Genomic DNA, 23436 nt, shown 5'->3' with positions numbered 1-23436 from the left:
AGTATTGAACACTTTACATTATATTTTATTTAATAATTAAAATATATATAATTTTATCATGACACTGCATGTAGAGTGGATATTGTTTAAAGGGCAAGTCATTTTTTTCTTATAATTTCCAATGCACAAAAGCATTAATGGGATGTTCTGCAAAATTTGGCATTGAATGCATGATACTAGCCAAAAATAATAAATTCTACAACATCTGGATAAAGCTGTTACTCCAGGAAAAAATATAACCATACCAAACATGCTGACATTCTGGCATTACGACCACAGCACCATCTCTCTTCCTTTAAATAGTGGCACATTGGAAATCCCCACTTTTCCTGAGTACGTTCTGCAGATGGGGGAAAAATACGGATTATTTAAATAAAATTCTTTCTTTTTCAGTTAAAATAAATAATCTACCAAGAAAGCAAATCAGTCATTGAGAAAGTAAAAACAGTAGTTAAACATGGAAATGGTGATGTTTAACAGTTCCTTCCAGTTTGTTAATTGAAAGCATACAAATGTTATGAAAATGGTATTTGCTCAACACAGCTGCTTTGTGTTTAAATTCCAAGTCTGGTACCAACCAATTTGCCAAAACAATTTCTGTAAGATTTAGCAATTTAAAATGCAAATACTCTTGATATTCAATATAACTATAGGAGATAAGTAATGAGATATTGAAAATTTATTGTTGGTCTGACTTTTTAAAAATGATTTATTAAATATGACATTTGGCAATTTATTATAGGACAATATAAATTCATTCCTAACAATGTTGAAGCATCAGATTTTTTCTTTTAGCCACTATGTTCCCCTTTCAGAAAAAGAACAGCTGTACAGGCTCTTATTTCTTCATTATACTAACAGACTGTAATATTTTCAACTATGACCCAATTCAGCTCAATTGCACCTGTTTTACAACAAAAACAAAAATCAATGTTCATTACTTAATCACATATCTACTGCTCAACTTATAGTTACACATGCAACTTGGTGATGTTAAAATTTCTGATGTAGAACTATTAGTTCCACAGGGTTTTTGAAAAGAAAAAAAAAGCAATTTCTATTTTAAATTAAGACCTGGAAAATTTTATTTAAAACAAACCCAGTGACAATTAAAAAAAAGTCGAGATAAACATAAATATTAATTTATATTATATTATAAAAAGTAAAATAAAATAAAAACAAAAAGGTGCTTTGTAAGAAAATGCAATTGGGATAGCTTCCCCTAAATAAACTTCTGTACCATGAGGGATCAGATGACTTTTGATTAAAAGAGAACAAGTTTAACTTTTACAATCATAGCCTAAGAAAGATGTTACAATCATAGCCTATCCAGATGTTCAGGTATTAAATAAAAATTTATAACAGACCCTACTGATAATCAGATGGAAGATATGGACGATCCTCCCTAGGAATATAAATAATAATACAAATAAACAACTCAACAGCAAAACAACTAATTCAATTAAAATGTAGCCAAAGGATCTGAACAGACATTTCTGAAAAGTTGGCATATAAATGGCCAAGAGGTGTATGAAAAAATGCTGAACATCACTAATCATCAGGGAAATGCAAATCATGTAGCTAGCCATATGAAAAACAGCATGGAGGTTTCTCAAAAAAACAAAAACAGAACTACCATACATACAATCCAGAAATCCCATTACTGGATATTTATCCAAAGGAAAATAATCAATTATCTCAAAAGGATATCTACAACCTCATGTTTATTGCAGCACTATTCACAGTAGCAAAGATATGAAATTATCCTAAGTATCCATCAACAGATGAATAGATATAGGTAAGGAAAATGTGGTATATACACAATAGAGTATTATTTGGTCAAAAAAAAAAAAAAACCCTACATTTGCAGCAATATGGGTAGAAACGGAAGTCACTGTGTTAAGTGAAATAAGCCAGGCACAAAAAGGCAAATATTGCACATTCTCACTCATATGTGAGAGCTAAAAATATTATCTCATGGAGATAGGGAGTAGAATGACAGTTACTTGAGGCTGGGAGGGGTATATGTGCTGTGGGGAGAGGTAGATGAAGAGAGGTAGATTAATTGGTACAAACATACAATTGGATTGAAGAAATAAGTTTTAATATTCGATAGCACAGCAAGGTAGCTATAGTTAACAACAATATATTGTATATTTAAAAACAGCTAGAAGAGATTTGAAATGTTCCCAATACACAGAAATGATAAATGCTTGAAGTGATGGATATCCTGAATACCCTGGCTTGATCATTACACATTCTGTGCATTTATCAAAATATCACATATACCCTGTAAATATGTACAAATATTATGTATCAATAAAAATGCTAGTATTTACACAGCACTTAACATTGAGACACTATTGTAAGTCCTTTAAATGTATTAACTAGCTTCAGTTCCTAGAACAATTCTGTGAAGTAGGTATACTATTATTCTCATGTTCCAGATAGGGAAACTGAGCACAGACAGACAGGTTAAGTCAATTGCCTTACTTACAAATCAAGCACAAGGCAGAGCTGGAATTTAAACTCAGGCAATCTGAATCCAGAACTCATGCTCTTAAACACTCATGCTATATAAATGTACATTAACAAACAATTTCAGTTACAATTGCATAGGACTCATAGAGCCCTTGCAGCCTATCCAAGTCCTAGGGACTCTGGGCTACTTCTTCTATTTCCAAGATGACTTCAAAGACTGGTTTGGGTTTTACTGAAGCTTTTATGATTTAAGTGAGACATGATTATTGCTAAATGAAAGGGTTACAATAAGTATTTTATTTTTTTCCTGACAAATAAAAAGAGAAATACAGATCTCGCTGTAAAAAGTAAAGGGCTAGAGAGACAGGGGTGTGCTATTTTATTCAAACTGGTTTATTACTAACCAATAAAACAGCTACTCCTCCCTTTACCCATCCGTTCTCTCCTTATTCCTAGTACTAACAGAGAACTCAACTGCTGAGACTAGAGGCTGCAATTCTCAGATTTCCATGCAACTACTAGGATAGCTACATGAGTAGGTTGTGGCCAGTTGAATGTGGGCAGAAATTATATGTGCAAATTCCAGGTCACGTACTTAAAAGGGATGGGGGGGTATGTTCTTTCACCCACACTTTCTACCCCTACCTGCTTACTTAATTTCTTTTCTGTCTGGAATGTGTTCACGGTACCAAGCAAACTAAGACCATGCAAACAAGAGCAGTAGAGAGTAGAGCAAAAAAACAGAAGAACCTTCGGTTCCTGTAAGACTTTTTGGTACAAAGCTTCTAGAGCAGTTCTACTTGTTGACCTCTGGATTGAAATATAAATGTCCCTGTGTCTTGTTTAAGTCACTGTTACTTTGGTCCTAAATCTATTTTACATTTAAATCTTCATCTTAATGTTTGCCAAACTTTTTATAGCTCAGCAATCTTGGAATATAGCAAAATCTGTATATCACACTAGAATAAACAGATGATGATTGTGGTCACAGGCGAAACCCAGGGAACAAGGGAAACAATATCTCAGGAATACCCATAAAACATCTCTGTTCTAATTAACACAGAAGTCTTTTTCTGAGGGTGTGCTATTTGAGCAGAGATTTAAATCTAATAAAGAAGCATGCCATAAGGATGAGAGGAAGATTTAATGAAATATGAAACAAAAATTTAAAAACTGAGCTTCCAGTGGGATATAGTTACTCTCCAGGCAGAGAGGTCTTCCCTCAGTGATAATCTAAAGAAAACTTGGACTAGAAAAAATACTACTTAACATTAGATTGAAAGGGGTACAGCATATATGAAAAATACACTACACTGGAAAGGGTATATTATTAGAAGGAAAAATCTAATACAAGAAACCCATAGCCAAGTATACTCCCAAATTCTTGACCCACAGAAACTATGAGAGATACTAAATAATTGTTGTCGCTATAAGCCATTGAGTTTTGGGGTGACTTCTTACACAACATTAGATAACACACACAGTCTACGATTAGCAATGAGAAGTATGGAGGCTTATTCCATACAAGGAATGTGGGAGAGAAATCCACTGCTTGAGGAGTATGGGTAGTGTGCTTCATTACAAGAGCTAGGTTTTGATTAGGTAGGAAAATAAAAAAACTTTCAGAGAAGAGGCAGTATATATAGGCAATTTTGATAATGACTGACTGTGAATTCCAGAAAATGGGATACTTAGTAAAAACCAAGCGCTTATGGAGATACCTTTGATTAGGGTCCTAGGAATAAGAAACGAGCTGTGAGTCCTCAGGCTCTGGTGGTAGCTAATATGAATAGGGATAAAAGGCATGATGGGATTAGTTCTCAGAGTTCTAGAGACAAAGTGGTGAAGCTGTAAGTGTTGTGGTAGAGGGAAGATGGGGTGAAAATTTTTCCATGGGAACAGAGTTCTGGGCTTCCCAACTGATTTCTGGTGATAAAGCGAAGATATGGGCAGAGAAACACAGGATTCCTGGGATCCCTCTTGTTTCCAGGTGATACAGATGGAAGCCAGCAAGGGAGCCATCACACCTGGAGCCCATGGGGCTGTGATTGGAGAAGTGGAGCATAATAAAAGATGGTCTTACTTCAAAAATGTTTCCTGACTTGTGCTGATGAAGATTATGAGGCTGAAGGAGGGTTACGGTCTCCCTTAGAACACATAAAGCTACTATTTACCACCACAACAAAGGCTGACAGAGGGTACTCAACCTGTGTGTAAGAGAGCTCCCTCTTAAATATTTAACAACGTATGAAGGACAGAAGGGCAGTCTTCCTTGATGCACCTGGATCCCTGAATTCCTATCCAAAACACCTAGGAACTTTAAGATACGACTGCAGTTTACAGGAACTGCCAGCCTTGGCTCAAAGCTACAGGAAAACACATCACTCCTCTGGACACCACGTGGTTACATAACCATCTTGAAGTTTTCTGAATCTGCGTTAACAGTTTCCTTTGCGGCTGAGATCACAGTGGCCTCACACCTTTGCTCTTTATCTAATGGAGTTAAATGCAAACAACTGATAAGGAGGCAGCAAACCCTCAAAGTCAAACAAAGCCTTTTATGTAGATCCTCAATATTATCTTCAGAATCTGTTTCATTAGTTTTATTCTGTCTGCAGTGAGGACTGAAGCTCCCTCATATGACCTGAATCAAAGTTAGAGTTCACCATTTCTACTTTTATGTATCAGTCTTCTCTTTGCATTCATATACCCATATTCAAATCTAATCAAATTAAGCATTAATCATCCTTTATCAGTGAATCAAATTGCTTTCCCCTAGCCTCACTTCCATAATTTTGGAATAGATGAAGTCTCTTCTTTTCTATCCTATTTCTTAGTATTTCTTGCAAGCTTTAGAATCAATAATCTCTTAGAGATTGTACTAGTTATTCCTTCTTGTGTTAATATCATTATCCACCTAACTAAACAAGCTTGAACTTTAGAACCATTTTCCATTATTCTAAATTCTTATACATACATCCTCTTAATTATACTTCCTGTTCATATTCAGTCTTCATTAGCTACTAACTTGGTAATGCAATACCTACTCATTAAATCTTTAGTCGCTTTGTTTTGGTCTTTTTGCCCATCCTTTATACTAAGAGCAATATTATCTTTCTAAAACACACACATTAACCATGTCAGCAGCAGCTCTTGTTTCCCTCAACAGCGTAATCTCTGAGAACAAACACAATGGGTTAAAAAATACTGTAGATTTCCGGAAACTCTTGATACCTCATTCATTAAACAATCTCTTCATCTGGCTTCCATAATGCCATTCTTTCTTATTTGTGGCCTTAATTCTCTTTATACTCCCTTGCTGACTCATCACATTCTATCTGCCTATGAAATGTTCCTGTGGTTTTCTCTTGCCATTCCCCACATCCCTTTAATACTTTCTTTGAACAAAGGCTCAAAAACTCAAATGCCTGCAGTGGTTAAACACATGTATAAAGTGGTAGGTAGGATGTAATAGGTATAAACCTATTTGTATGGTAACCAAGTATCACATCTGCTGGGTCCTACTGCTTTTTAAAGCACAAGGTGGGCATAATAAAATTGCCCAAGTTGCCCAAAATTAGTCTGTGAGCACCCTCTGTCAGTGATAGCCAATTTGTAACCTTTGCACTACCTATACTCTTCCCCTAACTATACCTTCTCTAGGATATCTTATCTATACCGTAATACACAATGATAATTCTTGTATTAGTTTTCTCAGGCTGCAGTAACAAAATAACCACAAACTGGATGGCTTAAGACAACAGAAATTAATTCTCTCACAAATCTAGATGCCAGCAGTCCAAAATCAAGCTGTTGGCTAGGCCACAGACCCTCTGAAGGCTCTAGGGAAGAATACTTCATTGTTTCTTCCATTACCAGTTTCTGGTGATTACTAGCAATCCTTGTCATTTTCTACCTGTCTTCACATGGCAGTTTTCTCTGTGTCTCTCTGTGTGCACTCTCCTAGGATATCAATCATTAGATTTAGGGCCTACCCAATCCAGTATGATGACTCCATCTTAACTAATTAAATTTGCAAATACCCAGTTTTCAGATAAGGTCATATTCTGAAGTTCTTCATGAACATGACTTTTTGGGAGGTATTTATCAACCCATTACCATTCCTATATTATATCTGGAATCCTATAGTCTTCTGTGAGATCTAGTTTTGCATTATCAATATCCTTTATACATATATATATATATATAGTTTTATATTATACTTTAAGCTCTAAGGTACATGTGCACAATGTGCAGGTTAGTTACATATGTATACATGTGCCATGTTGGCATGCTGCACCCATTAACTCGTCATTTACATTAGGTATATCTCCTAATGCTATCCCTCCCCCCTTCCCCCACCCCACAACAGGCCCCGGGGTGTGATGCTCCCCTTCCTGTGTCCAAGTGTTCTCAATGTTCAATTCCCACCTATGAGTGAGAACATGCGGTGTTTGGTTTTTTGTCCTTGCGATAGTTTGCTGAGAATGATGGTTTCCAGCTTCATCCATATCCCTACAAAGGACATGAACTCATCATTTTTTATGGCTGCAGAGTATTCCATGGTGTGTATGTGCCACATTTTCTTAATCCAGTCTATCATTGTTGGACATTTGGGTTGGTTCCAAGTCTTTGCTATTGTGAGTAGTGCTGCAATAAACATATGTGTGCATGTGTCTTTATAGCAGCATGATTTATAATCCTTTGGGTATATACCCAGTAATGGGATGGCTGGGTCAAATGGTATTTCTAGTTCTAGATACCTGAGGAATTGCCACACTGTCTTCCACAATGGTTGAACTAGTTTACAGTCCCAGCAACAGTGTAAAAGTGTTCCTATTTCTCCACATCCTCTCGAGAACCTGTTGTTTCCTGACTTTTTAATGATCACTATTCTAACTGGCGTGAGATGATATCTCATTGTGGTTTTGATTTGCATTTATCGGATGGCCAGTGATGATGAGCATTTTTTCATGTGCCTGTTGGCTGCATAAATGTCTTTTGAGAAGTGTCTGTTCATATCCTTCACCCACTTTTTGATGGGGTTATTTTTTTCTTGTAAATTTGTTTGAGTTCATTGTAGATTCTGGATATTAGCCCTTTGTCAGATGAGTAGATTGCAAAAATTTTCTCCCATTCTGTAGGTTGCCTGTTCACTCCGATGGTAGTTTCTTTTGCTGTGCAGAAGCTCTTTAGCTTAATTAGATCCCATTTGTCAATTTTGGCTTTTGTTGCCATTGCTTTTGGTGTTTTAGTCATAAAGTCCTTGCCCATGCCTATGTCCTGAATGGTATTGCCTAGGTTTTCCTCTAGGGTTTTTATGGTTTTCGGTCTAACATGTAAGTCTTTAATCCATCTTGAATTAATTTTTGTATAAGGTGTAAGGAAGGGATCCAGTTTCAGCTTTCTACATATGGCTAGCCAGTTTTCCCAGCACCATTTATTAAACAGGGATTGCTTTCCCCATTTGTTGTTTTTGTCAGGTTTGTCAAAGATCAGATAGTTGTAGATGTGTAGTATTATTTCTGAGGGCTCTGTTCTGTTCCATTGGTCTACATCTCTGTTTTGGTACTAGTACCATGCTGTTTTGGTTATTGTAGCCTTGTAGTATAGTTTGAAGTCAGGTAGCGTGATGCCTCCAGCTTTGTTCTTTTGGCTTAGGATTGACTTGGCAATGAGGGCTTTTTTTTGGTTCCATATGAACTTTAGTTTTTTCCAATTCCGTGGAGAAAGTCATTGGTAGTTTGATGGGGATGGCAATGAATCTCTAAATTACCTTGGGCAGTATGGCCATTTTCACAATATTGATTCTTCCTATCCATGAGCATGGAATGTTCTTCCATTTGTTTGTATCCTCTTTTATTTTGTTGAGCAGTGGTTTGTAGTTCTCCTAGAAGAGGTCCTTCACATCCCTTGTAAGGTGGATTCCTAGGTATTTTATTCTCTTTGAAGCAATTGTGAATGGGAGTTCACTCATGATTTGGCTCTCTGTTTGTCTGTTATTGGTGTATAAGAATGCTTGTGATTTTTGCATATTGATTTTGTATCCTGAGACTTTGCTGAAGTTGCTTATCACCTTAGGGAGATTTTGGGCTGAGATGATGGGGTTTTCTAAATATACAATCATGTCATCTGCAAACAGGGACAATTTGACTTCCTCTTTTCCTAATTGAATGCCCTTTATTTGCTTCTCCTGCCTAATTGCCCTGGCCAGAACTTCCAACACTATGTTGAATAGGAGTGGTGAGAGAGGGCATCCCTGTCTTGTGCCAGTTTTCAAAGGGACTGCTTCCAGTTTTTGCCCATTCAGTATGATATTGGCTGTGGGTTTGTCATACATAGCTCATTATTTTTAAATACGTCCCATCAATACCTAATTTATTGAGAGTTTTTAGCATGAAGGGCTGTTGAATTTTGTCGAAGGCCTTTTCTGCATCTATTGAGATAATCATGTGGTTTTTGTCTTTGGTTCTGTTTATATGCCGGATTACGTTTATTGATTTGCGTATGTTGAACCAGCCTTGCATCCCAGGGATGAAGCCCACTTGATCATGGTGGATAAGCTTTTTGATGTGCTGCTGGATTCGGGTTGCCAGTATTTTATTGAGGATTTTTGCATTGATGTTCATCACGGATATTGGTCTAAAATTCTATTTTTTTGTTGTGTCTCTGCCAGGCTTTGGTATCAGGATGATGCTGGCCTCATAAAATGAGTTAGGAAGGATTCCCTCTTTTTCTGTTGATTGGAATAGTTTCAGAAGGAATGGTACCAGCACCTCCTTGTACCTCTGGTAGAATTCGGCTGTGAATCCGTCAGGTCCTGGACTTTTTTTGGTTGGTAAGCCATTAATTATTGCCTCAATTTCAGAGCCTGTTATTGTTCTATTAAGAGATTCAACTTCTTCCTGGTTTAGTCTTGGGAGGGTGTATGTGTCAAGGAATTTATCCATTTCTTCTAGATTTTCTAGTTTATTTGAGTAGAGGTGTTTATAGTATTCTCCGATGGTAGTTTGTATTTCTGTGGGATCGGTGGTGATAATCTCCTTTATCATTTTTTATTGCATCTATTTGATTCTTTTCTCTTTTCTTCTTTATTAGTCTTGCTAGTGGTCTATCAATTTTGTTGATCTTTATTTTTTTGAAGGGTTTTTGGCTTCTCTATCTCCTTCAATTCTGCTTTGATCTTAGTTATTTCTTGCCTTATCAATATCCTAACCACCATTTCCAAATGGATATTTCATTGGCACCTTAAAATCAACATATGTAAAATTAAACTAACTTCATAATACAAATCTAGATCTCATGAAGTTTCAGAATTTAATAACTGGCACTAATATTTATTAATTTACACAAGTCAAAAAATTCTGGAGACATCTCTGACACTTTCTCATTCAGTTTGTTTTAGAAATTCCTGTTTATTTATCTCCTAAATTTTCCTCAAATCTATAAATTCTCTATTTCCACAATCCCAAACTACCTGGACTGGTACAACAGTCTTTTGATTGGTGTGCCAACATCCACTCTTGCTCCCTTGTATTCCAATCTCAATTCTGCAACCATGATGATCTTTTAAAATGTAAACCTCGTCAGGGCCAGGCATGGTGGCTCACGCCTATAATTCCAGCACTTTGGGAGGCCAAGGTGGGCAGATCACCTGAGGTCAGGAGTTCAAGACCAGCCTGGCCAACATGGCGAAACCCCGTCTGTACTAAAAATTTAAAAATTAGCCAGGCATGGTGATGGGCACCTGTAATCCGAGCTACTTCGGAGGCTGAGGCAGGAGAATCTCTTGAACCTAGGAGGCAGAGGTGGAGGTTGCAGTGAGCCGAGATTGTACCACTGCACTCCAGCCTGGGTGACAGAACGAGACTCCACCTCCAAAAAGAGAAAAAAAAAAATCAAACCTCATCAGTTCACTTTCCTGTTTAAAAAATCCTTCTTCTCCTTAACAAATCCCTTTTCTCCTTTTAATATTAAGACCCCAATCCTTAGTACAATTGACAAAATCCTACATGATCTGCTTGTGCCTGGTTTGCCAGCTTCATTTCACACTTCATTTGCTGTTTCGACTTTTTACAATTTGGATTTTTAATCTTATATATATTTATTGAGTACTTAATATGGGCCAGTCACTCAATTCATGGCTAAATATTCTTTAGTTTCTAATGAATGAACAATTCACACCTGATATGTATTTTTCCCCTCCCTTTCTTTTCTTAAAACTGTTTTATTGAGGTATGGTTGACATATAAAAAGCTGCAGATATGTAATGTATACAACTTCATGTGTTTGGAAATAAGTCAACACCTGTAAAGCCATCAAGCCAGCATCATTAGCAATGCCAAAAACTTATTCATTACCTTTAAAAGTTGTCTCCTCCCTGTTTTTTTCTCCATTTGTAGTAAAAGGACTTAATATAAGATACACCCTTTTAGGAATTTTTAAGTATAAAATACAGTACTGTGAATCATAGCCCCTGTATTATACACACAATATATCTCCAAATTTTATTTTGTATAATCAAAACTTTGTACCCTTTGACTAATACTTCCCTATTTCTCTCCCACCCAGCCCCTGCTCTTGCTTCTGTGTTTGACTATTTTAGATTTCACATACAAGTGAGATCATGCAGTATTTTTCTCTGCCTGGCTTAATTCACTTAAGATAATTTTCTCCAGGTCCATCCATATTGTAGAAAATGGCAGGACTTGCTTCTTTTTAAAGGCTGAGTAATATTCCATTGTATGTGTGTACCACAGTTTCTTTATCCATTTATTCATTAATGGAGATGAAATGATTCCATATCTTAGGTTACTGTGAATAATGCTGTCATAAATACAGGAGCACAGATATCTCTTCGAGATCCGATTTCAATTCCTTTAGATACATACTCAAAAGTCAGAATGCTGAATCAAATGGTAATTCTACTTTTAATTCTTTGAGGAACCTCCGTATCATTTTCCATAGCGACTGCACCAATTTACATTCCTCCCAACAGTGTAAAAGGGTTCCCTTTATATCCTTGTCAAGATTTGTTGTCCTGTGGCTTTTTTTTTTTAATAGCAGTCATTTTAACAGGTATGAGGTGACATTTCATTGTGGTTTTAATTTGCCTTTCCCTGATGATCAGTAATGTTGAGCACTTTTCCATACACTTGTTAGCTATCTGTACATCTTCTTTAAAGCAGTGTTGAACTTACGGGGTTCTGCATGGCCAGGCACATTGTCCAGTATCATATCAAAAGAACTTTAAAAGCAGCCCCTTATGGACAAGATACTTCATGACTTCAGACATAGCATTGATGAAATCAATCCAGAAAAAGGGTTCTTGTCCAGGCCTTCTCGTTGTACAACTGAAAAGCAGGCAACTGATGTCTATCTTTTCCCTTCAAGGCCCAGGAGTTAGTAATTTTAGAGATAAGGACATTTCTGATGATAAACTTGACTGAATTTGCACAAAACAGTAGCCTTAGCCTATCTCTTCCTGCCTTAAATCCTGGTGCTTGCTTCTCTTCCTTATTAATAAGTGTTCTTTGTGGCATTTTTTTTTATCCAGAATATGGCACTTTTATCTGCACTGAAAATTTTTTCAGGAAGATACCCTTACATTTCAACAGTTTTCTTAATAGCATCTGGGAACTTGTCTGCTGCCTCTTGATCAGCATCTGCTGCTTCTCCTATTATCTTGACAATTTGTTTTAAGCCAAACGTCTTTCTAAAATCATCACACCATCCCTTGTTGACATTAAATTCTCCAGCTTTAAATCCTTTACTGATGTAGATTTAGATCCTTTTGCTTTAACTTGTCATATAATGACTTCACTTTTTCTCAAATCAAATTAGTGTTTATAGACAGGCTTTTCTTTTCACAATCACATACCCACATAAAACTGCATTTTCAAAAACCTTCCACAAAAAGTGTCAGTGACACTTTCACAGCTTCCCTAATTTTCTTTTCTTTTTCACAATAGTCCTTATGATGGATTCATTTATCTTGAAATGGTGGTCAACTGCAGCTGCAGACCTCAATCTATGGTACATATTAAGCAACTCAAGTTTTTTTGTCATAACTTGCCTTCTTGGGAACATTTACAGCATCACGAGTGGCACTTAGTATAGATCCCATGATGTTATTCAAGGTTTATGGTATTATACTAAACAAGATGAGAAATATGCTAGAACTGTGAAATATCATTTTTACTGCAATATGCAACTTACTGAAGAGACTAACTGCTCAGGTGGAGATTATTAGTGTCACACATTTTTTAAAGTGGGTATTTCAAACATTTGACCTCAATGAAATAGCAACGGGAGGTGGCTACAAAATTGCTACAGCAGAATAGTATATATTATAATTTTATGCAGTCATGATTTAGTACTACACCTTTATGTTTGATGTGCCTTTACATTTCTCTGTAAATAGCAACATGTACAATATATTTATCAAAACATACACAAAGTCAACCTGTTCGAAACTGAACAACTCTCATCTCAGTCTGCCCTTTCTGCAGTTATATCCAGATCAATAAATGACAACTCCATTCTTCCATTATTTTAGTTCAAAAGCCATTGATATATACTTTGCTTTTCTCTTTTACACTTGCATATTAAGTGTCAATACATATAAAATATATTCAGAATTTAACTATCTCTTGCAAAGTTCCCCTCTGATCTGCACTATCGCCACCTTCCATATGGATTCCAGCAATAGTTCCCTAAGAAATTTCCCTGCTTTTTGTCACAACACTGTTTTAGCTATGCTCATCTCTGTTCTTTCTTGAAAGGGCCAACAGGTTCCTGCCTTTGGGTTTTTTACTTGCTGTTCCCTCTGTCTGGAAGACCGTCTGTCTCCAAGACAGCTGCATGGCTTGCTCCCTCATCTTTCAACTGTCTGCTCAACGTCATCTTAACAACAAAGCTTCTCCTGGCTACCCTATATAAAACAGCATGCCTCCAAACTCACATTGCTTTATTTTTCTCCATAGTACTTATCACCATCTGATGTACTAGATATATATCTGCTGGTTACTCTGCTGTCTCTACCTACTAGGAGGTAAATCACATGAGTGCAGGGACTTTTTTTCCACTTCTCATTCAAAAGTATCTGGCACATTGTAGACACTCAATAAATATTTTTGAAAGAATATATAAATGTATGAATGAATTATTAAATTCAGTTGGAATCCTTTTGTTAGAAAAAAGGTATTTGTACATGTACCCATTTGTATATGTAGGTGCATAGCAAGAAATATGTGAAGGGAGTGTCACAAGTAATGCCAAACAAACTTTAACTTTTTAACGTATATGCTTGCATACTTTCAGAACTCATTTTATAATGTGAATATATTTATTACTTATGTTGAAAGGTAAACATAGAAATAAATGTTTAATATTTTGAGTTCATTCATCGTTGAAAGTTTTTTATTAAAGCTTCCTTTTTGTGTGTCACATGCATCTACATCACTTTTATAATGCTTTGAAACAATAAAGTAAAATTTAGGTTGATAGGCATCTTACAATCTCCCACAAAATATAGATTTTTTTTCAAGTCAAGTATTTGTCATTTACCAGCCATTTTACCTTGATTTTAAACTTTAGTCTCTGTTCCATGTTATTCTCTTTAAGGACTGATGAAGACTCCTTAGGTTTCCTTAAAAATATCCTTCAAGGGTATCTGAAGAATTGCCATGTAGATTGACACACTCTCAAGTAAAGATGACCTCTCAGTTTTAGTTGCAAGTTTAGAAACTCATTTCCCACCTTAGAATTTTATAGTTTTATAATTAGCATCAGAGGTTACAGGACAATTCTATAAAATTTTCTTGATTTTCATTTCAGGTTTTAAATAAGGCCAAGTATATATGATATTCAAAATATTGCCTACGGATAAAAGGTGTATTAAACACTATATTGAACTATCAGGATTTGTGAAGTACTTACATGTTACCGGTTTCTAAAATATATTAAAACTAAGAGGATAGGCCCAGCATGGTGCTCACACCTGTAATCCCAGCATTTTGGGAGGCCGAGGTGGGCAGAATGCTTCAGCCCATCCATGAGTTCAAGACCAGCATAAGCAACATAGTGAAACCCTGTCTTTATGACAAAAACAAAACAAAACAAAACAAAACAAAAAAGCAAAAATTGACCAGGTGTGGTGTCACGCACCAGTAGTCCCAGCTACTTGGGAAGCTTGGGAGGGAGGACTGCCTGAACCCAGGTCGAGGCTACAGTGAACCATGATCATGATACTGCACTCCAGCCTGGACAACAGAGTGAGACCCTGTCTCAAAAAAAAAAAAAAACCTAAATGATAAATATAATTAAATAATTAGGTAAATCAGACCTACTCTTCAGGATTAATAAAATAATGAAGAATAAACTTAAAATAGTATAACCAGAAGAATAATAATATAGAAGGCAATTTAAAAGCAGGCAAGTTCTAAAAATTGCTCTGCTCTTAAATGATCAGAAAAAATGTGGGTGTAAAAAGTAACTTAAAAAGATAATGTTTATGTGCTGTTGTCAACAATGATTCAAATTGTAAAGGAGATACTTAACGATTCTAGAATTCAAGACATTTAAAGAAAATCACAGCACGATGATTATATGTTCATGGCAATTAACTAATTCATTCCATAAATATGGACTGAGCCCCTACTGCTACTTTCTTTCTGCCTTCACCAGACTGTAACTTCAATTTAAATCACTGAGATATAGACTCTATGTATGAAGTTTTGTTTCCCAGAAAATACAAACGGAGAGAGTTGGTAATAGTAAAATGGTAATGATTACAATACAATGATTAAATTTATTATCTCTGATTTGTTTCCTACTGGGCCACGCCAAGTGTGACGGTTAATTTCATGTGTCAACTTGACTGAGCCATGGGATGCCCGGATATCTGGTTAAACATTATTTCTGGATGGCCCGTGAAGGAGTTTTGGGAAGAAATGAGTGTTTGAATTGAATGAGGTCTGAATAAAGCAGACTGCCCTCCCTAGTATGGGTGGGCATCATCAAACCCATTGAGGGTCTGAGTAGGACAAAAAGTTAGAGAAAGGTTGAATTCTTTCCCTCACTACCTCACTGCATAAGCTGAGACATCCGTCTTCTCTTGCCTTTGGACTGTGACTTACACCAGTGGCATTCCTGATTCTCAGGCGTTTAGTCTCACACAGGAATGTACACCACTGGCTTTCCTGGGTCTCCAGCCTGTAGAGAGCATACTGTGGAACTTGTCAGCCTCCATAATTGTGTCAGCCCATTCTTAGTAAATCTAATTACATGTATGTGTATGATCACCCTGCCTAATACACCAGGTATATATAGCCCGATTTACAATATCCTTTTTTTCTACTTCTCATCTCCACTGCTAATTCCTTTATATGATCAATGTACTAGTATTTCACTTATCCTTTGGTTAAAAACGCAGGCTGGAAATGTGATCTCAAGGTATATGTATATAAAGTGTGATGTATATAAAGAAGAAAATAAACACCCAATTTTAAAAGACATGTATATTACTTTAATGGAGTCATATCTACATTAAAACATTTTTTATTAATGAATCAGTCCAGATACAACTGTCCTGGTATTTTTATGCATGACTATACAATGGCAAAACCCAGGTGCTGAGGGAAAACATTGTGTTGGTTTGGCAAACACTGTGATAGGAGCTTCCCAGTGGAGTTTCTCACTGTGTATGACAGGTTCCCTCTGCTGCAAAACTTTATGCTTGATAAAATAATTTATAATGAGACACATATGGAACACCTGAGATAATTTTTATACTAATATTACAGATGATGTTGTAACTTCATACCAATAAAAATTTCACACATTGTGTCAGATGGATGATAATGAAGAAAATTTAGGCAACTTTCTGGTAATTTATTTACCACAGGAAAAAAGAAATGAGAACGCTATAGCAAAATATTTTTCAAGGTTATTTGCTTAGCTACAGTATCAAAATCTCGATTTATATATAAAATGAGTAGATTATAATCTAGTTTTTTAAAAACCTGTTTTATATTAATTTGACTGTCAACTCTCTGACAAGAATTTGTCAACTTTGCTTTCATATTACTTTATATACAAAGTATAAACTCTTCCTCTTTACTACTTCTTTTAAGTGGACATATTCATTTTCTATTTTGGATTTAAACACATTATTGGCTTCTTTTATTTACCATGAACACAGGGAGAACTTTTTTATGCTGAATAAATCCAATCTGCATGCGCTTCAAAAACCACTTTCTATTAGTCGCAAAAAATAACGAGGTGCAAATTAAAGAAAAAAATAAGCAAAATATATTGAAGTTCCATTTCTAACTACTTATAGGCAGCAAGAACATGCCCCATGGCAAAAATAAAATCAGCGCCAGTATTCTAGAAAACACAGAGCTGACTGAAGATCACATACAGCTGTCAGAGTGAGGTAAATTGTGCACAGAATGCCAAGTACATCTAGAAATCTCTGTATTCATCTCATATTAATTGGCAAGAATGTTTCTGAGACATAGGTCCAGCTGAACAATGAGGAGTAATGTGATATTGTAACAAAAGCTTATAAACAGCTGAATCTACAAGGCTGGCAGTAAAGTTTACTCATCTACTGTAGGATTGCAAAGAACAATACCTACACTAGCCACACCAGAAACTTAATTCAAGCCGAGATAGATCCTGATAGTTCCTCACTGAATTACTGAACAAACTAATACACTATTAATATTAATATAGTTAAGAAAAAATATATATATATACATTTGTTATAAATTTTTTATTGCTAGTTTTACTTCCTAAAACCCAAACATATAAAACTGGGAGAAACAACATTTATGGCCATTATTATACTGGTATAAATGTAAAAGTATAATTTTCAAAAATTTCTTATTATCATCCAAATGCAGAATCATAGCAGGAAAGTAGAGTATTTATTATTTATTATTTATTTATGCAAACCCAATATAAGTAAGAAAAAAAAGATACTAAAAGTAAATGTCTTGATAAATACAAATAAGGTTAAATTGAAATAATACGCATGTTTCAGAAAGCTACATTCAAGTTATAGAATGGTATCATCAGAACCAGAAGAGACAGATCATCTAATTTAACCCCTCTCTTGCTTCACTAATTTACAGATGATCCACAAAAGCTAACCGATCCAGGTCACAATACTGCAGAGACAGAGGAGAACGCTAGTCGGTCAAAGCAACTTTTCTTCTATGCAGTGTTTCTGCACTCCCTTGGACATCTAGAAATCACTCTCTCTATGCTTGGAATGTAACTTATACATAACTCTAATACAGTACCTATCAAACTGTATTACAGTTGTCTTATCTGTAACAAAACCTATTTATTATATTATATATTACTTTAAAATGTTTCATTTAGATATCTTCAGTATCTAGCAAAGTGGGCAGTGGGTGCATACTTAGTTTGCTGAGTGTCTCCTAAATCTCAGCATATTCTATGTTGAATAAATATTTATTGATACTTATGGCCCAATGTTGTTGTTACTAAATTGGCTCTTATGTTCTCATCATTTCAAAGTCTTCATTTTAGTTTCATGGTTTAAATTAGGAGTTGCTAAAAAATGTTCATGCCTCAATCTCCAGATTCTTGACAAAATACTAATGATTTATAGGAAGGCCAAAAGAGAGTCACCGAAAAGAATTAATTTAAAATATAATCAATTACATACAACTGTTTTTTAAATCTTTCTTTTCTTCAAGGATTTATTTTGAAGCATAATCAATCACATAATTTGTTTTAAAACTTTATTTTTTAAAATTTTATGTTAAAATTATTAGAAAAAAATTATAGTAATAAACATGCAATGCTGGGGCACAACAGTAAGTAAAGTAAAATATTTCCTCTTCAACTTAGGAGAAATTTATGAATCTGGAAAATCCCTGTGAGATTCCACTGAGAAACTGGAGCCTTTATGTGAAAAGTTCAATGTCTGAAATAGGAACAAACTTAAAAGGACATAAATATTCTTTTATACTTGTCAAAAGAAACTTATTCTTTTAAAAAATATATATTTAGCATCTGATATATGCCAAATACTATTTGGTAAACATAGGATAACACAGTTAAGGTGATTTGCAGCTTAAATGAGCAAATTCAGTTAGTAAGAACAAACAAATTTATATAGCGATGTTTTACAAACTGTAGGTGAAAGCCAGTGGAATGGAAAAGCTGGCTCTTACTGGGTCCAGAGGGAGCTGACTGTGTGCATCTCTTGCCAACCCAGCATTTACTGACATCAGGTTGGTAGCTTGAAACTGACCACATTAGGTATACTTGCACAATGGAATGAGGAAATACTACACATTAGGGTTTTTATTCAGAGGCAGAGCCAACCATTAAACATTTACCATCACACTGCTTAGTCAAAACCCATTAAAGCCTTATGAAATCAATTGAATAGATTGTGATGAATATTTTATAAAATTTGAAAGAAAGGAACTGAATAAGATTGTCAACAGGAATGCATGTGTTATAAGATTAAGTACCTATTAAGGAAAAAATACTAACCAAAAAGAAAAAGAGTTCAGTTATTTTTTTTGTAAAATGTAAGTACTAGTTTTATTTATTTCTCTATATACCAGGTAGTGTTGTAAAATGTGTTTCTTAATGTGAGTCTGACTCAAAAATATGTGAAACTACTACTATAACCAAGAGAACAAACATAATGTTCTTCCATAAACATGTTTAGTAACTTTTGTGGTCATTATATGCTTTGTGGTTAAAGATCGCACGTTTGGAAGAGGAAATAAACCTTCATAGCTAATAGGAAGCTTAATTATTAAATTGTAAAGTTAAATAATTCTTTATTAAAAATTAGTTAATTTGGAAGCATCTTGTTCCTTCTCAAGGAATACCGAAGCGTGGAATTGTAATTTATAATCACAAAAGAATCTGACTTTGTGTAGATTTAAAGTTAAGTAAGACCTTTGTCTCACCAGAGTAGTATGCTTTGATCATTTTGCTCCAGTGGTTGATGGAATATAAACTTTCTCTAACCTTCTTCTGTTTCTTATCTTTGCTAAGAAGAGCAAAGCCAAACAAGTACCTTGAATTCTCAAATTACTTATGTCAATATAATTATTTCTTCTGGAGATGTCTCATCAAATACCTTTGTTTCTTCTTTAGTTTTGACCAGTGCTGAATCAGTGCTTTTTTTTTCTTACCATTTATAATTTTATTTCATATGTTATTCCTTTGTTGACTGCTTGCTATATACCCCACTTTATGGTAAATGGTAGGAATGAAACAAAAACATTAAAGAAACATGTTCCAACTTTGCCCCAAAACTTGATTCTCCCTTAGTGTTTCCTATCATATACATTGTTCTGTCACCCACCCAGCTGCTCAAAACAGAAACCTGATAATAATCCTTGATAATCCCTTTTCCTTTATCTCCTTTAAACAATCTTAAATGCTTCTTGAATTTTTCAAATGTACTCTCTTCCTACTACTGCTACCCTTATTTTTGTTCCCACCTTTGTGGTTTCTAATTATGAAATTATTAAAGCTCAAGTTTGCCATGGTACACAAATACCCTTAGTAGCTTCAGTGTTTCCATTATCTTTGAGGACTTCAGCATTCTTGTATATATTGACTAGATATATGTTTCCAGCTTTTCAATGCTTCTAGGAAAAATTAATTGTATTCAGCATTTTTAGTTCAATATAATAGGAGGGTCAGCCAAGATATCTAGCCACATGTATCTTATGATTTAGTGGGGATTTTCTAAGATTTGAGCTCATATTTAATAGATTTTAATCTGTTGAAATTTCAAGAGCCTGAATTTAAGAAGTAGTTCCCTTAAAGGATTTGAATTTGCTTATGCATGAGACAGACTGAAGATGGCTTTGTCTCATTCAAGGGTATGGCTTAGTATGGACATTTCAGGATCAGCTTCCGTATTAGTTGGGGACCATTATTAGTTTTTAGATCTCAATGTGACCAGCATTTATCTCAGAACAACACTATCTATCACTTTATGGCTCATAGTTTCCTCCTTTGGTCTCAACTCCTCTTCCTCCCTCTTCCCATTCTCTTCTTTAAAAGTTTTTGTTTATAATTCTTCTTGATCCATAGAGATTTCCCTTATTTTGTGTGGACTCAGCAATGCCTAAAAAAATACGTGTTCTAATTTAGCCAGGATCTAGCTGAACTGTAGCAGGAGGAACACTCAGAAAAATCTCATCTCTCACACTGCTGGAAACGGAAGTCAAATTCATGCTGTTTTGAAAAGAGAAATGATGCTTTATTCCTCAATATCCTCCAAACTTCCAGCATTAAAAGCCCATAGCAGTAAATAGTCTTGTTTAAGAAAATACATATTGTATGAGATAGAAAATATTGTCAGATCTTTACTGAAAAGACAGCAATTGTTTGCATTGTTTCAATGATAGGATTAATTCATTGCCATTAATGGACTAAGACATTAGTCATACATTTCTCTATGATATAATACATGATTTAGTGCTGATATTAACTGGTTAATGTTATGTTAGCAGTTTTAGTACCATATATAGAATATTTGATATGACGGAATATCATATATAGAATATTTGTTTAAGTAAGCTTAAACAGTATGTTATATGTTCAAACGATGTGCTCAACACGTTTTTCTTCAACCTCTAGACACCTTTTCAGATGAAGTACCTCTAAATTTAAAGCAAAGGAACAATTTTTAAACCTCAACAACAGTAAAGATAATGATCTACATATGTATATATGCAGCCTTCTCCCTCACAATTTCCAGAGATGATACAACTTAAGAAACAATCTACACTAGGATAGGTATCATGCACCCTTGACAAATTTCTGTTTGACACAGAAATGGCAGCACCAGATTGAAAGACACCATCAAAAGATGATTCGTGACCCTCTACTGTTTTTTATTTTTTTTAAGTAAATGGAGGAATCTTTGGGAGAATCACCTCTTTATCCCATATCATATTAAGGCTGGGGGTAAACATGAAGTTAAGCCTGCAGGCTTTCGAGGGTTACACCACTGATATTTGACTGTGCAAATGTGGAGTGCACTAACAATACTAGAAGATGCCCTGGGTCTACTAGGCTGGGAGGAGGCAGGGAAGGAGCAGATCAGTCACAAATTTGCACCCTGGCAAGAGTTGCTCCCAGTAGCAACTGATGATTCCTTAACAAAATCATGGTTCAGTTAGCAAAGAAGAAAAAATGTGTGGATCTGAATTGGTAACTAGTAGTGCTTCCTCTATTTATACCTTTTATCAGGAAAACAACCAAGTTATACTGGTATTTACCCAAAAAAGTTATCTCCAAAACTTCTAGAAGAAGAAATAATGTAAACACTTCAAATTAATTATTACAATAATCAATATTCAAAATACTGAAACATTAATCAAGCTTGGCCAAACAGACACTCTATAAAGGACTGCAATAAAAATGTTTCTCGTATTTCTTGTTCTCCTAGGGACAACTGGCTTATAATGTAAAAATATTTAAAAGTAGTTTTAAAACATATGGTATAAATTCAGTATTCACAATGGCTCATAGAGCTTTGCGGTATTTTTGAAAACTGACATTCATGACAGACTACCTGCATGGTCTACCACACTGTATTGGGTAAACACATTCATGGAAAACATATATTGTTTACATAGTAAATATCATCATAAAAAGTAGCAATGTACATACCAGAATTTTCTACTGTACTATGCTAGACTATTAATAACTCAAATTTACATCCCAAAGGGCAACACTGCCCCAATTCAAACTTAAAAACAGCTGTGCAAATAAAGTGAGGGTGAAGGTGTGTAAGATATTAAGAGAAGGACACATGACATATTTGACCATTCAGAGATATAACTCCATGGAACCTAGTGCTTGATATATTACAGGAAATATGCTAACTTTGTGCACATAAACCCCTTTCTCTGTAAGTCAGATATTTTAGCATAATGATCAAACTATATAGCAGTAGATTTGTATTTTAGTATGGAATACTAGGCCTCCATAGCATATACTGTACAAACAAAATAAGGCTATGTCCATATTCCATCTATCAAAATAGTTTCTGCTAAATAGCCCAGAACCAACTCTGTTTGCCACTGTCTGCCTTCACACACACACACACACACACACACACACGGAGTCACATCTGTTCATTGATAAAGGTAAGCTATCAAAAATCTAGGGATACCCATAATAATTATCCCAAACATACTTTACTTGTTCTAGATTTTTCTCCTTGAATTTGTTTAGCTTCTAACCACTTAACTTCATTCCCTATTTATGACCCAGTTTCCTGCCCTCTTGCATCTGTGTTTTTTTCCCCAGGTTTTTGCTCTGACCTCTATACTTCAAGGACTTTGTTTTGGTCTAGTTACTCCAGCTCTCTGCATTTTGGACTTTGATGTACACTCCTAGGCCCTTTTGAGTTTAACCTGTCATATGAATCCGCAAACTGGCACTTGACTAGGACCCATCTAAGTCTCTGCATAGAAGAACAATAACTATAAATAATCTTGAACATATATCTATAAGTCATCCTGTAGAATTCTTCATGTCTTCTTATATAATCATAATACATACCTTGTTTTCAACCATGCTGTTCATCAGAATTACCTATAGAACTTCTTAATCATACTTATATTCAAGTCCTATGCCTAGAGATTATTATTCAGAAGGTAAGAGGCAGGTCCAGGCATCTATACACTAAAAGTGTCAAATTCGACTCAGCTAGGCAGCTAGAATTGAGAAATACTGTTATAAAAATTTCATGGGATGGTTCACATCTTCTCTGTTTTACTACAGCAAAGATACAGTGAGAAAAATGGAGATGGAGTGTTGGAAAGAGAAAAGGGAGTATGTTACCTTTTCCATCTGGTTTTTGAGATGAGAAAATGTGGCAGTCCAGGGCTAGGCAAAACTGTAATATAAACCAAGTTT

The 23436-nt window shown here is 35.2% G+C and overlaps 1 protein-coding gene across 20 annotated transcripts in view; it reads right to left on the bottom strand.

Annotated features, from left to right (window-relative positions):
• METTL25 (methyltransferase like 25) overlaps nucleotides 1–23436 on the bottom strand; it is a 120711-nt gene that overhangs the window by 48007 nt on the left and 49268 nt on the right. For 12 of the 20 annotated variants that reach the window (NR_144943.2, NR_144942.2, NR_144940.2 and 9 more), the window contains one exon: nucleotides 246–340. Coding sequence is in view for 11 of the 20 variants with exons in the window: in NM_001319675.2 (NP_001306604.1) it covers nucleotides 246–340 (95 nt within the window). In the remaining 9 variants the exon portion in view is untranslated. Of the gene's footprint in view, nucleotides 1–245; nucleotides 341–20742; nucleotides 21168–23361; nucleotides 23417–23436 lie in introns of those variants that run through there. The other 8 variants (NR_144941.2, XR_007063135.1, XR_007063138.1 and 5 more) reach the window with 2 other exon arrangements.

The sequence above is a fragment of the Homo sapiens genome, chromosome 12, assembly GCF_000001405.40.
Source record: "Homo sapiens chromosome 12, GRCh38.p14 Primary Assembly".
In the NCBI taxonomy this organism is placed as follows: Eukaryota; Metazoa; Chordata; class Mammalia; order Primates; family Hominidae; genus Homo; species Homo sapiens.
This window is presented reverse-complemented; position numbering and strand designations above follow the sequence as displayed.